This window comes from Homo sapiens, chromosome 20 (assembly GCF_000001405.40).
Source record: "Homo sapiens chromosome 20, GRCh38.p14 Primary Assembly".
Classification (NCBI taxonomy): Eukaryota; Metazoa; Chordata; class Mammalia; order Primates; family Hominidae; genus Homo; species Homo sapiens.
In genome coordinates, this window is record NC_000020.11 from 3,653,705 (window position 1) to 3,667,595 (window position 13,891).

At 53.9% G+C, this 13,891-nt stretch overlaps 1 protein-coding gene across 3 annotated transcripts, besides 4 other annotated features; it reads right to left on the reverse strand.

Annotated features, from left to right (window-relative positions):
* Positions 5,379 to 5,538: an enhancer, noted in NCBI's record as "active region_17481". NCBI's record gives its function as "activates an Ori minimal core promoter by ATAC-STARR-seq in GM12878 lymphoblastoid cells {active_cell/tissue: GM12878}" and the evidence as "EXISTENCE:reporter gene assay evidence [ECO:0000049][PMID:35858748]".
* Positions 5,544 to 9,695, reverse strand: GFRA4 (GDNF family receptor alpha 4). Of its 3 annotated transcripts, NM_022139.4 has the most exons (6): positions 9,650 to 9,695; positions 7,240 to 7,585; positions 7,051 to 7,160; positions 6,822 to 6,956; positions 6,454 to 6,545; positions 5,544 to 6,285 (listed from the first exon to the last, which is right to left on the reverse strand). In NM_022139.4, exons 1-6 carry the CDS (start codon positions 9,693 to 9,695, stop codon positions 6,205 to 6,207), a joined length of 810 nt encoding a protein of 269 aa, NP_071422.1. In that variant the 3' UTR covers positions 5,544 to 6,204. The 3 variants fall into 3 exon arrangements, with proteins under 3 accessions (NP_071422.1, NP_665705.1, XP_005260850.1); NM_145762.3 differs by having other exon boundaries at positions 6,822 to 6,967; positions 7,051 to 7,585; XM_005260793.2 differs by lacking the exons at positions 5,544 to 6,285; positions 6,454 to 6,545 and having other exon boundaries at positions 6,879 to 6,967.
* Positions 7,071 to 7,120: a silencer, noted in NCBI's record as "silent region_12622". NCBI's record gives its function as "represses an Ori minimal core promoter by ATAC-STARR-seq in GM12878 lymphoblastoid cells {active_cell/tissue: GM12878}" and the evidence as "EXISTENCE:reporter gene assay evidence [ECO:0000049][PMID:35858748]".
* Positions 7,211 to 7,320: a silencer, noted in NCBI's record as "silent region_12623". NCBI's record gives its function as "represses an Ori minimal core promoter by ATAC-STARR-seq in GM12878 lymphoblastoid cells {active_cell/tissue: GM12878}" and the evidence as "EXISTENCE:reporter gene assay evidence [ECO:0000049][PMID:35858748]".
* Positions 13,206 to 13,735: an enhancer, noted in NCBI's record as "NANOG-H3K4me1 hESC enhancer chr20:3647557-3648086 (GRCh37/hg19 assembly coordinates)". NCBI's record gives its function as "activates a minimal SCP1, AML or CMV promoter by ChIP-STARR-seq in primed H9 embryonic stem cells {active_cell/tissue: H9 hESC(primed)}" and the evidence as "EXISTENCE:reporter gene assay evidence [ECO:0000049][PMID:30033119]".

Here is a 13,891-nt window from a genome sequence, read left to right on the forward strand (position 1 = left end):
TGAAGGAGACTGGGTCCCTGAATGACTTTGTGGAACAGAGCACTATAGGCCAAAGGTAGTAGAATTAGGTATCTTGTTTTATGCTGCTTAAGTGAATTAATTAATTCTCTAGATTTATTCACCTAGTTATTCAACAAATTTTTATTGAGCACATCAGGGCTAGGGCATTGTGTCAGGATCAGAGATTTTGCAATGAACAAAACAGAAAACTCCATGTCCTCCAGGGGAGTTGATAATAAAATGTCAGATAAGCTCTGTGAAGAAAGGTAAAAGTAGGGTTAGGGGTAGAAAGTGCTGGGGGGATTGCTACTTAACATAGTGTGGCCAGGGGAAGCCATTCTGCTAAGGTGACAGCTGAGCAGAACGATGAGTGGAGGGGGCAGGAAGGAATGTGGAGGTCTGGGAGAAGAGCATTCCAAACAGGGATGGCAGGTGCAGAGGCCCTGAGGGGGCAGCATGCCTGGTAGGCCTGCTGGATATTTCTGAGAATGAAAAAGTCCATTCCCAGTTGTTTGCGTGGAGAACCTAACCCAGTTATAAACACAAAGTACTTGAGAGCTGGTTTAATATACAGCCAGCTTTCCAGCAGTGCAACTACTGTGTACATCAAGGGAAAACTGAACTTCGTTTTCCTTAAAACTTATCATCAGCTGGTCATCATTTTGACAAATTCTGTCAACAACAGCAGTGTCATTCCTGGCATCTGTATGGGTCACGTCTGAACAGACACACGCCCTGCAGCCCTGCAGGTACCAGCTGTATAACAAGAACTCCCTTCCACCCTGTGTCCTGGAAACAAGAAAGCCATAGACCGGAAGATCCCGATGGCTATCTCAAATGTGCTGGATGGAGTTGCCAGGGCCCACTGGCATGCCCTGTAAGCCTTTCCTTCCACGTTTGGTTCCTGCCCCTTGAAGACTCCATTTCTGAGTTTGTGTGTGTTTTACTTTCTAGTGTGTGTCCTCATCTTAATTTTTCTCTCTCTCTTCTGCCTTGAACTGAAGGTTCGCTTGGGTGTGGAGAGACAGGCCCCCAGCAGAGCAGCTTCCCGAGACATCCTCCGATCCAGGGCTTCCCAGCAGCCCGGCAAGGCAGGGCTGTGCCTTTCTGCTTCAGCTCACAAGCATGCCAGGCTCACTGGCAAGCTGCTGTCTGGTTGAGAGACTGCTCCTAAAGCCCTGCACAGCCCCTGTCCTCCTGGCCCTCTGGAAATTCCACCAACCCGTGTCCACATTTCATGCAAAAATGAGCTGGTTCTGTGAGCATGGCCCGGCCTGACTCGCTTAGTGGGCGGTAAGTGGTTTCCACTTCAACCTTGCACCTAATCACCGGGCTCCACACCAGGATGGACATTCATGAGCCGTGAAGTTTCCAGTAATAAATCCACAGATGCTTCCAGCACCTGCCTTTTCGCATCACCTCCACTCCCAGCCACCTGCCAGGCAACAGGTAACAGAGACCCAGTCACAGGAGGGCAGTGTGGGGGCAGGACTGCAGTCTCCCAAAGCCCATGCACAAAACCGACAGCGCCCTGGCAGGACAAGGAGGCTGACATTCAGATGTGGAGGAACAACGCATGACCCATTCCTGGTCATGGGGGCCACAGCTGGACTCAGCCTTGAGGCTTGGCCAGACTTAACACCGTGTATAAACCAGGACCTTTTTAGGTAGAGTAATGGAAACCAAACTCTAATGATCTTAGACAGTGCTATTAGTCTCCTGGAGCTGCCAGAACAAATTACCGCAACTTCAGTGTCTTGAAACAAGAGAAACTGATTCTCACAGTTCTGGAGACCAGAAGTCTGAAATGCAGGTGTTGCCAGGGCTGTAGTCTCTGGAGACTCTAGGGGAATCTGTGCCTACCTCCTCCAGCTTCCAGTGGCTCCTGACATTCCTTGGCTTGTGGCTGCATCACCCCAATCCCTATCTCTGTCTTCCCCTGGTCTTTTGCTCAAAATGTCTGTGTTTAGTTTCCCTGTAGACACCTCTGCATCACTCTCATGAGATGCAGAGGTGCGACATACAGGTGTTGAGAGCCCACTTAGATAATCCAGGATAAGCTCCTCTCAAGATCTGTAACTTGGCTGGGTGCAGTGTCTCACGCCTGTAATCCCAGCACTTTGGGAGGCCAAGGCGGGAGGTTCACTTGAGGTCAGGAGTTGGAGAACAGCCTGGGCACCATGGGGAGACCCTGTCTCTACTAAAAATAGCCAGGCGTGGTGGCACACACCTGTGGTCCCAGCTACTCAGGAGGCTGAGGTAGGAGGATTGCTTGAGCCTGGGAGTTTGAGGCTGCAGTGGGCTATGACTGCACCACTGAATTCCAGCTTGGGTGACAGAGTGAGACTGTCAAAAAAAAAAAAAAAAACATAAAACATAACTTAAATCACATCTCTTGCCACAGAAAGTAATACTCTTTTGCCTACATATAAGGTAATATTTACAGGATCCAGGGGTTAGGATGTGGACATATCTTTGGGACCACTGACAGCCATGAAGCAATCTCATAATTTTCAAATAGGTTCTGTCCTTTTTATCTTTCCAGTCTTTTGGAAAGCATATGCCTATATTTTCAATCCACAATTCTATTTTTATTTGAGGTCATTTCATTTCTGGTTTTTATTTTTTATTGAGACAGGGTCTCACTCTGTCACAGGCTGGAATACACTAGCACAATCATGGCTCACTGCAGCCAACTTCTGGGCTGAAGTGATCCTCCAGCCTCAGCCTCCTGAGTAGCTGGAACTACAGACACACATCACCATGCCTGGCTGATTCATTTTTTAATTTTTTCTAGAGACAGGCTCTATGTTGCCCAGGCTGGTCTCAAACTCCTGGCCCCATGCAAACCTCCCGCTTCGGCCTCCCAATGTGCTGGGATTATAGGAGTAAGCCGCCTTACCCAGCCTCCAGTTTTATTGTGTTTTGTTTTGTTTTGTTTGAGACAGAGTCACGCTCTGTCACCAGGCTGGAGTGCAGTGGCACGATCTCGGCTCACTGCAACCTCTGCCTTGCGGGTTCAAGCGATTCTCCTGCCTCAGCCTCCCGAGTAGCTCGGATTATAGGCATGCACCACCACGCCTGGCTAAATTTTTGTATTTTTAGTAGAGACGGGGTTTCACCATGTTGGTGAACACAAAGTATTTGAGAGCTGGTTTAATATACAGCCAGCTTTCCAGAAATGCAACTACTGTGTTCATCAAGGGAAAACTGAACTTCGTTTTCCTTAAAACTTATCACCAGCTGGTCATCATTTTGACAAATTCTGTCAACAACAGCCATGTCATTCCTGGCATCTGTATTGGTCACATCTGAACGACACACGCCCTGCATGCAGCCCTGCAGGTACTGGCTGTATAACACGCCTGGCAAGAATTCCCTTCCACCCTGTGTCCCGGAAACAAGAAAGTGATTGTGATCCGCTCACCTCAGCCTCCCAAAGTGCTGGGATTACAGGCGTGAGCCACTGCACTCGGCTTCCTCCAGTTTTTTTTTTTTTTCAATGCTTATATTTTACTCTAATTAACTGAGTCAAAAATGGAGAATAGTTGAATACACTTTCATGTAAGGCGAATCATTTAGCCGATACTTAACTCTGCATTTGGGCTACCATGCCGCTGTGGTTAGCGGGGCAAGGTGATGAGCCCTGTCTCAACACACACACCCCGCCTCTCCCCAGCCCACTTACACGTGTCCATTCCCACGCAGGTGTGGGGGCCTTAGAGGATTCCCTCTTCTTCGTAAAGTGAGAATGGGCTAGACTCGGCTTCACTGCCCAACAACTCCTTTTTTTCCTTTGGGAAACTGTCCTTCCCATTCCATATAACCTTCATGGGCTGAGATCACTCACCGAGCTACAGGAAGAGGCCCATTACTATGGCCCCATCAGGGTTCTGCCTGGGACAGTCCATAAATGCTGGAAGAGAGAGGTGCCTTTCCCTACTGAGGCTGCTAAAAGGAGACACTGCAAACTGGGGCTGCTGGTGGCAATCTTACACTCTCAGTGAAAGCCTGCCTGGCTGCAGGGGAAACCAATGCACAGACCAGCAGGGGCAACATCATTTGAACCCCTGGAGACAGCTGTGCCTGAAGCCCACATGGCTCAGGCACATGCTCAAGCCACTCTGATTTGCTTGTTACAGTCAAGAGAGTCCTTGGCCGGGCACAGTGGCTCATGCCTGTAATCCCAGCACTTTGGGAGGCCGAGGCAGGCGGATCACCTGAGGTCAGGAGTTCAAGACCAGCCTGACCAACATGGTGAAACCCCGTTTCTACTAAAAATACAAAAATTAGCCGGGCATGGTGGCATGTCCCTGTAATCCCAGTTGTTAGGGAGGCTGAGGTGGGAGAATCGCTTGAACCTGGGAGGTGGAGGTTGCAGTGAGCCAAGATTGCACCACTGCACTCCAGGCTAGCTAACAAAGCGAGGCTCTGACTCAAAAAAAGGGAGTCCTGACTGAAGCTGAGAGGCTGGTGGACAGCTGTCAGCAAGCAGTGTTTGTGGGTCTGATGTGAGCTGCGAAGTCCACACCTGATTTCAGAGCTGGTGGCTCTTTTTCCAATCAGGACAGCTCCAGGCCTGAGTTTTGGTGTGGTCTGTACCTAACCGCTGTGTCTTAGGTCAGGATCTCTAGAAGCCAAGCCCAAGACAGGAGTTCTCAAATGCCATGATTTACTGAGGGAATGCCTTTGGGGGAACCTGCCAGTGAGGAGAGCTGGAGGAGGCGGGCAGGGGCGGGAGCTGAGCCAGGTGGGGGTCCCTGCTGGAGTCTAGCCTCAGCTTGACCCCACAGGGGCTCTGGAGCAGGAACAGCACACTGCATTGTCCCTTGAGGCAGTCACTGGCTGCAGTTGCCTCTGGGAGCAGAGTAAAAGTGGACAGGCATTTCTGGGAGTACAATTCCCTAGAGAAGGGGACAGCTCTGAGCTGTGTTACCAGCCACCATTTCCAGGGGCTGGGGGATGCGCTGCACTGGCCCAGAGAGGTCTCTGAGCAAGGCCCCCACAACCTCCACTTCAACCTCCTGCCAAACCTCAAGCAGATTGAGAAGGAGCCGCTAGAGACACAGGAACCCTTTCCTCATCAGAAGTCTCCAAGCTTTGGAGGAAGAAGGAGGCAGGCAGGAGGCGGGAGGATCGTTTCACCCCAGGGGTTCAGGGCTGCAGTGGACTATGATCATGCCACTGCACTACTGCCTGGTGACAGAGTGAGACCCTGTCTCAAAAACAAACAGACAAAAAAAATCAATGCTCTTAGCATCTGCTGGGTCCACATTGGGCAGTGTGTGTGACGTGGTCCAGCTGCAAGGGAGGCTGGGAAATGCAGTTTCATTATCTGAGTACTAGTGGAGAAAGAAGAGACGAAAGCAATGAGAATCCCTGCCATGAGGAAGTGAGAGCTGATTCATTTCAGCTTCCTTAGGTGAGGTGATGGGGCCCAGACAGGTTCTGAGGCCACTGGAGGTCACACAGGCCAGCAGGGATACACCCAGTGGTAGACCCTGGTCTCCAGGCTCCCAGGACACAGACCACATAAAAGCAAGGTCAGTCTCAGCACACAGATTTAATAAGCACTGTATGTTATTCCTACAGCTGCAGGAAACCAGGGGGAAGATGGCCACAGGGCCAATGCCAGGCAGGGCACAGGGTGGGGCCCCTCAAGCAGCATATGGGGAACAGGAAAGACTCTGCCAGCATGGTCATGGCGCACAGGTGGCTACAATGGTGGGTAATGCCCAGTTGGGAGGATGCAGTGTTAGACGGGGTCTTGTCCGATGGATTCCTTAGGGGGTTATATGCTTGGGAGGCTGATACAATTTCCTAGAATTCTGGGATTCTGGATGGTCTCTGACCTGCTCTAGGGGATCTGGGTCTCCAGAGAGGTCTCAGCTACAAAAGTGACCCTCTCCTGACCCCACCTTGTGGGAGACCCCAGTGGTCTCAAGGTCTGTGAATAAAGGGACTTACAACCAAGATGCCTCCTGACAGGGAGACGGGGGCTTTACAGTCAGGCCCCAGCCTACATCCCTTGCCCCAGGGGACGGCACACAGGGTGTCCAAACCTACAAAGGGCAGCGGAGTGAAAGCACCAGGGCCGGCTTGGGGGGTAAGCCAGCCCCTTCTCAAGGGGCCAGTAGGCCACAGAGGCGGCCCAGGCAGGCAGGGTGGAGTAGCTGGCTGTGCTATCCGAGGTCGCTGTCCTAATCAGAGCAGGGCCGGGAGAGCCAGGACAGGAAGTATGGAGAGCAGGGAGCGTCTCTCCAGGGCCCTGCCTGTGGAGGACACCTTGGGGGTGGGAGCCAAGTGCAGACTTGAGGCAAAAGCCTGTCTCTGCCCTCTGCCTGCACCCCCACCCCAGGCCCTTCATGCCTCCACCCAGGCCCACCAGGGACGGAAGGGTGTGAAGGTGACAGTGGGGGAGGTGCCAGCTCACCCTCCCCTCCCTGCACCTACCTGCAGGAGGCTGTGCTCCGGGTCTCCCTGGGGGTTCAGCTGGTCCAGCAGGACTGGGGGCCACCCGCTGGCAAAGGCCTGAATGGCACCATCTATGGAGGGAGGGGTCCAGGGTGGACTTAGCTGGGAAACCCTAGCACAGGGCTCAGCACAGGGGACAAAGTGAGAGACCCCCTGCTGCAAAGACTGGCTCCTTGGACAGAAGGTGTGTGGTGAGGAATAACAAAATAATAAGCACAGCTGTGACAGAGTGACTCAACTGTACAGTCTTCCATTCTCCCCTCTAAAATGGCTCCCAGCCAGGCGGCTTGGGAGGGGGCAGTAAGCGCCGCCCCCACTCCCCCTCCACTCCCCCCCGGGCCCCTCACCCAAGCAGCGGTTCCTGGTAAAGAGCCCCCGGAAGGCTTCGCAGTCCTCACGCCGGTTCCCGCTGGCTCCGCAGTCGCACCAGGGCGCCACGCGCGCGCTCACGTTGTCCACGTAGTTAGGGGTGACGGCGGTGCCTGCGGGGACCCTGAGGGCGAAGTCATCGGCCCACCCGGGCGGAGATATCCCCTGGAGAACCCCCGCCCTCGCCCGGATCCCGGCCGCGCGTACCCACGAGGCCCGCGTAGGCGCGCAGGCAGCGGGCGCCCTGGTCCAGCAGGCAGCCGTCGGGGGCGCTGGGCGCTGGGGTGCACGAGACCTGAAAGGCCAGGAGGCGAGGCCTGCGCGGCGGGAGGGCGGTGAGCCGGAGAGAGGCCCCGTCCCCACCCTCGCCACGGCCCCGCCGCCGCCCGCGCGCACCTGCAGACCCGGCTGCGCTCGCAGAAGTTTAAGGGCTCAAGGCAGGAGGGCGGCGCGGGGCCGGGCCCCGAAAAGGCGCAGGAGGGCACGAAGGTCTGGCGCCGACGCTCGGCGCACGCGGGGCCCGCGCACGGGCAGAAGAGCAGTGCGTGGGTGAGCGCGGGCGGCCCGCGGGCGAAGAAGCGGCGCAGGGCCCGGCGGCAGCGGGCGCGGGGACAGCCCCCCTGCGCAGCCCGGCCCAGGCACTGCGCCACATACTCGGAGCGCAAACGCTGGCACCGCGCGTCCGCCGTGCAGGCTTCGGCCGCGTCCACACATCGGTTCCCTCCGACCGAGCTCGCCGACCCTGGGAAAGGCGCGGGGAGGCTGCAGGTCTCAGTGCGCCCCGCATGCACACTTCACCCAGCCCATCCACGCCCCTGGAAGGTGGGGGACACTGAAAACCCGAGAAAGCATAGAGTGTGGCCCAAAGGCGGGGCCGACTGGCACTGATCGGCTCTCCGTCGTGGGGATGGGCAGCGGCGGGCTCTGGAGGGCTCTGCAACACGTCAGGGATGGAGAGGGAGCATGGAGGCTGAGCCAGGCCTTCCCCAAAAGCTGAAGCCCCTCCTTCCCAAGCATCGCCACCATTTCTCCAGAACGGCCACACACGTCCAAAGACGGGTCCAGGGGCTCCTCCTACACTCAATGGCACTACCTGACGGGGGAACAATGAGGCTTTCTGGGGATCTGGCCAATGGAGACTTTAAAACCAGAGATGGCATAGAAGACAGTGGCTGCTCCTAGTCTCTTAATGACAGGCTGTGACGCCATACCTTTCCTCCTCTACCCCCTCCACCTCGCCGCTTATCCTCCACCATGGAGACCCTTTGGGTGGGTCTATTGATTTCTGTTTCTCCCTCCTTCCTGACCTCCTGCTCCTCCTCCTGCCCCCTGCATGGGTGTCTCCCCTCTCCAGCCCTTCCTGATGCTCCCTTGAGTCGAGGTCATCCTGCCCCATCTGCACTGGCTTCCTCCAGCCCCTCCACCCTTCATCAGCCAGGGGAGAGCGGATTCATGCAAGAGCTCTGGCCACTGAAGAACCCACTGAGTCCTGGCTGCCAGGGTGTGGATTCAGAGAAGTCCCTGACGACACACCGCCGGGCTTTGTCCTGAGCCACAGGACCCAAGGGTTCATCAGTGGTTTTAGTGACCAGGCCCCATGATAGGTGACACCCTGCTGGAGACAGAGAAGGTGCCTGGCACCCCAGTCACACACCAGGGGTTGGGTAGACAGAGGGTGAGCTCTGCCCACATGCCCACAGGCTGTGTCTAAATAGAGCCAGGATAACTGGAAGTTGGGACTTGGCAGCCCCTTCCCAGGATTTGAGTCACAAAAACCAGGCTAATCGAATCCCCCCCAGCCTCCACAAGTTCTCCAGTCTGGAGCATCTCATTCAGACTAGAAGCCTTTCTGGTGCCCAGCCTGAGTGGACGTGCACAGCCTGGCCCCTCATCCATCTCCCTGTGTGTTTGTGCACAGGGGCTACGGGGTGGTATCCCCCCCCCAGGGCTGGGAGCAGGGTGCCTCTCTGGCAATGGCTGTGTCTTTCAGGCTGTGGATTGGACCGCGTGGTGAGAGTGATTCCTGCTGTGACTTCAGCACCTGCCTCTGCAGGAAGGATGAACATAGCTCGAGGGCTTAGAATGGTCCCTGAGTGGAGGGGATAGATGGCAGCGGGGTGAGTCCTCCCTTCCTCCCCTCCCCAAAGGGCACACTTTGCTTTCCTCTCACAGCCTTGCCAGGCACATCCTCAGGTCTCAGCTGCACACACCAGCACCTGATGTTGCCTAAGGGTTTGAACCCACCTCTGCCTGTTGCTTACCTGTCACCCTTGCCCAGAACACCCTTACCCAGTCTCCACCCTCACAGCAGCTCATCTCAGCTGCAAGATCTCCTCCACCTTAAACCTTTACCAGATTCCACTTTCCACACTACACTCGGTAAAGTGACCCCTCCCTCCGCGACATCCATGCAGGGACGGAGCAGTCCAAGAAGGTGGAACAACAGATGAACAACACCGAAGATTCACCAAGGAATCTGTGTGATGGGTAGGAGGGCTGGGGCTGAGGGGAGGGTGAGAGAGTTGGGAGATGGCAGACAATAGGCAAAAGTTCCTGGGGCACGGGTGCCAAGGCTGGACTCGGGAGGGGGATGGCGGTGGTGGCTTGACGGGGCTGGGAGGTGAGGTGCTCAGCACATAGTGGGGTCAATTGCCAGGGGTCCCCAAGCCGTGCGCACAGGCCTCTCACTGGCAACCCTTCCTGTGGTTCAGCTTTTCCTGGAATATCTTGCCCTCCCACCTTGTCACTGAGGAGCAGGGACAGAGAGGCCAGGGTTCGGGGTCCAGGGGAAGAGAGGGGCGCTCACCCAGTAACAGCAGCAGCAGCAGCGCAGGCCCCAGGCAGCGGACCATGCTGGACCTTCAACAGAGAAGGATGGCTGGCAGAGCCCTAGTCTGATAGGCGCCCCCTTCCTAGTGCCTCTGGAGCAGGAGCACAGTGAAAACCCAGCTGTCTGCGCTGATACCCCTGGGAGGAGCCTTTGCTGCAGCAACTCCCCGCCCTCATTAAGTCTCCACCCCAGGCTGCACCGTCAGGTAAACCTGGGAGCCACGGGATTCGGCGCCTGAATGTGCCTAGACGGACCCCAACACACTAGCCCTGCCACGCACACCCAGCAACACACAGACAACCACCCAGGGAGACCTGGTCTCTCCCATGCTAAACTAGGAACGCTATGAAACAGCATTTTTCTTTTCCTTTTTTATATAATTCTATTTTAAACTTAAAAAAATTTTTTTGAATAGAGTTGGGGTCTCGCTCTATTGCGCAGGCTGGTCTTGAACTCCTGGGCTCAAACCATCCTCCCACCTCGGCCTCTCAAAGTGCTAGGATGACAGGTGTGAGCCACCATGCCTGGCCTATTTTAAACTTCTTATTGTTGACTAATTTTAGACTTGCAGAAAAGTTGGAAAATGTAAGCATTTTCCTTACACCCTTCACCCAGCTTCCCCTGATGGTCCATCTTACTTAATCATAGTCCAATCATTACAGCTAGGAAACTAACCTTGGTACAATCCTGTTAACGAAACTGTAGACTGTTTTGCATTTCTCATTTTTCCACTAATGTCCTTTTTCTGTTCCAAGATCCATTCTAGGATCCCACATCACAGTTGTCTCCTTATTCTCCTCAATCTGGGAGTTCCTTCATCTTTCCTTATCTTTACCCTTGACACTTTTGAAGAATCCTGGCCAGTTATTTTGCAGAATGTTTCTCTTGAGTTGTCTGATGTTTTATTCTGATCAGAATGAGACACAGCATTGTTTTGACTAACCAAAAAGTTATTCTATAAGTAAATATTGAGGTTAAAAATCTCATCCAACCTGGGCAACAGAGTAAGGCCCTGTCTCAAATAAAGTCTCAACACTAAGATTTAAAAAGTGACCAGAAAAGCCCCCACTATGATTTGTCTTGACTTTTTTTTAAAAAACAAACAAACAAACAAACAAACAAACAAAAACGATGTCTTGCTCTCTCTCTCCCTCAGGCTGGAGTGCAGTGGCACGATCTTGGCTCACTGCAACCTCCGCCTCCCAGGTTCAAGCGATTCTTCTGCCTCAGCCTCCCAGGTAGCTGGGATTACAGACGCCCGCCACCATGCCCGGCTAATTTTTGTATTTTTAGTAGAGACAAGGTTTCACCATGTTGGCCAGGCTGGTCTCGAACTTCTAACCTCAAGTGACCCGCCCACCTCTGCCTCCCAAAGTGCTGGAATTACAGACGTGAGCAACTGCGCTTGGCCTCATTAGCATCTTAAATCTCCACACAGGGGTGTGTTCCTTACTATTATAAGGAGCAAAGGATCAGTTTGAGGACAGGTAAAATAAAAATGCGCTTGCTGCCTAGAGGGAGAAGTCCCTGCTGAAGATAGCTTTGCTTGAATGAGCTCAATTGCAATGCCAGTGCTGAGGCTTGTTGACTGTACGGTCACCACAGTTGCTGCTGCGCGCCTAGAACATGGTCACTTTCTTGACTACCTATCCTGTCTCAGTACATCTGTCTGTGGTTTGTGGTGGTCCATTTCCTAATTTTTTTAATGAATCAGAAGACTGTGATGTGCTTTCCGCTGTGCTAACCATGGCCGCTGAAGCAAAATGTAAACCAAGATGCCCCTGCAGTGGTTGTGCTTCACTCTACGACATCTGTTACCGGAAAGGGGTCCAGATTCAGACCCCAGGAGAGGGTTCTTGGATCTCGTGCAAGAAAGAATTTGAGACGAGTCCATAAAGTGAAAGCACATTTATTAGGAAAGTAAAAGAATAAAAGAATGGCTACTCCATAGAGAGCGCAGCCCTGAGGGCTGCTGGTTGCCCATTTTTATGGTTGTTTCTGGATGATCTGCTAAACAGGGGTGGATTGTTCATGTCTCCCCTTTTTAGACCATATATGGTAACTTCCTGATACTGCCATGGCATCTGTAACCTGTCATGGCGCTGGTGGGAGTGTAGCAGTGGGGACGACCAGAGGTCACTCTCATCACCATCTTGGTTTGGGTGGGTTTTAGCCAGCTTCTATATTGCAAGCTGATTTTTTTGTTTGTTTTGTTTTTTGAGACGGAGTCTCGCTCCAGGCTGGAGTGCAGTGACACGATCTCAGCTCACTGCAACCTCCACCTCCTGGGTTCAAGCGATTCTCCTGCCTCAGCCTCCCAAGTAGCTGGGATTACAGGCACACACCACCATGCCTGGCTAGTTTTTGTATTTTTAGTAGAGATGAGGTTTCACCTTGTTGGCCAGGCTGGTCTCGAACTTCTGACCTCAGGTGATCCGCCCACCTCAGCCTCCCAAAGTGCTGGGATTACAGGCGTGAGCTACCGCGCCTGGCCTACTGCAAACTATTTTATCAGCAAGGTCTTTATGACCTGTATCTCCTATCTCATCCTGTGACGCAGAATGCTGTAACTGTCTGGAAACGCAGCCCAGTAGGTCTCAGCCTTATTTTGCTCAGCCCCTATTCAGGATGGAGTTGCTCTGGTTCACAGGCCTCTGACACATCCTCTTGTGTTTTGGCGTGTGGGAGGAAAGAGGGGTGAGGGAAGGAAACTCAAAACCAAGCTCTGACCACACAGGGCAGGTACACTCTCCCACCTGTCTGTGGGTGCCACAAGTCAAGGGAGGGGCAGAGAGAGAAGAAGGTGTGACAGATGGCCGCAGGCCACAGAATGTCAGAGGAAGCCCAGTTCCTCCCGGGGCAGCCCAAGTAGCTGGTAGTTGGGTGGCCAAACAGAGGGCGTCACAGCTGAGCTGGGCTCGCTCGCTACCCCCAGCTCAGCGTCCACTCTGCCCCTCAGTACCTCCTGCTCAGCCTCAGGGTCCATGCCTACCCTCCTGCTTCCCAGTCACTTCTGCGTGCCTCCTGCTTTTCTGCTGTTGGCCCCATGCCAGCTCCTTTCTGCTGAGCTTCTCTTCTCCAGTTCTGCAGCACAGCCAGGTGATCCTGGGCTCCAGACAGGCCTCTCCCCCAGTCTGGGGCCTCCCCTCTTAGAGCCCTCTTTCCTTCCCACGTGGCCTCCCCAGGGTTCGCCACTGAATGGAGAAGGGGTGGAGGGGGTGCTGGGCAGTCTTGGGGAATAGCCAAGAGGGCAGAGTTGGCCTCCCCAGGGTCCCTTGTAGCTGGAGTCCCGCGGGGTCTAGACACCCCCTCCTGAAGGGTAAGAGCGGGGGAGGTATATTAACGTGTATTTTTAGAGTCTCTCTTTTTTTTTTTTTTTTTTTTTGAGACGGAGTCTTGCTCTTGTTGCCCAGGCTGGAGTGCAGTGGCACGATCTCAGCTCACTGCAACCTCCACCTCCCATGTTCAAACAATTCTCCTGCCGCAGCCTCCCGAGTAGCTGGGATTATAGGCACGTGCCACCACACCGGGCTAATTTTTGTATTTTTAGTAGAGATGGGGTTTCACCACATTGGCCAGGCTGGTCTCGAACTTCTGACCTCAAATGATCCTCCCGCCTTGGCCTCCCAAAGTGCTGGGATTACAGGCGTGAGCCACCATGCCTGGCCTTAGATTCTCTATTTTATGATGGTTTAACATCTCGGGGTGGGGGCTTGTTGGCTGGAGAGAAACTGCTTGATTCCTGGAGATCAGAAACAACTCATGCCTTTCATATGCAAACCGACCAGTCTTGAGTCCATACACCAACCACCCCCTTCAAGGAACTCTCACATACGAAACCAGTATTTCCCCTGCCCTAAACCAGCTCAGGGCCAGGCACCTACCCAGACAATTAGAGCCCAACCCCACGCCCCAAACCCCACCAGAATGATTCAAAATGCCAATCCTACCCTCTTCCCCTGGCCTGCCTTGCCTCCCCAGTGGAAACGGCACTGTGGGCTGTGGCCTGTGCCTTCCACTCGCTCCTGATTCTGTCCCTGGACCAAACCTAGTGCCTCCCCACTGTGGCCCTGCATGGTGGGAAACTGTGAGTAATAACTTATTTCAACAGCATTGGCCTCTGTGTCATCAGTCACCTTCATAAATTAAAATTTTGCAACTACAACTGAGGCAGGAGGGGGCTTTAGAGAGCACTCTCACCTGGCCCCTTGGGCTTGT

What these genes read in the sequence shown, in the direction of transcription:
- GFRA4 (NM_145762.3), bottom strand. Translation starts at nt 9,695, where the DNA reads ATGGTCCGCTGCCTGGGGCCTGCGCTGCTGCTGCTGCTGTTACTGG. An exon ending in GCTGCTGCTGCTGTTACTGG is followed by an intron (nt 7,586 to 9,649) that starts GTGAGCGCCCCT and finishes CGCCTTTCCCAG; the next exon opens with GGTCGGCGAGCTCGGTCGGA. An exon ending in CGGAGCACAGCCTCCTGCAG is followed by an intron (nt 6,286 to 6,453) that starts GTAGGTGCAGGG and finishes CCCACCCCCAAG; the next exon opens with GTGTCCTCCACAGGCAGGGC.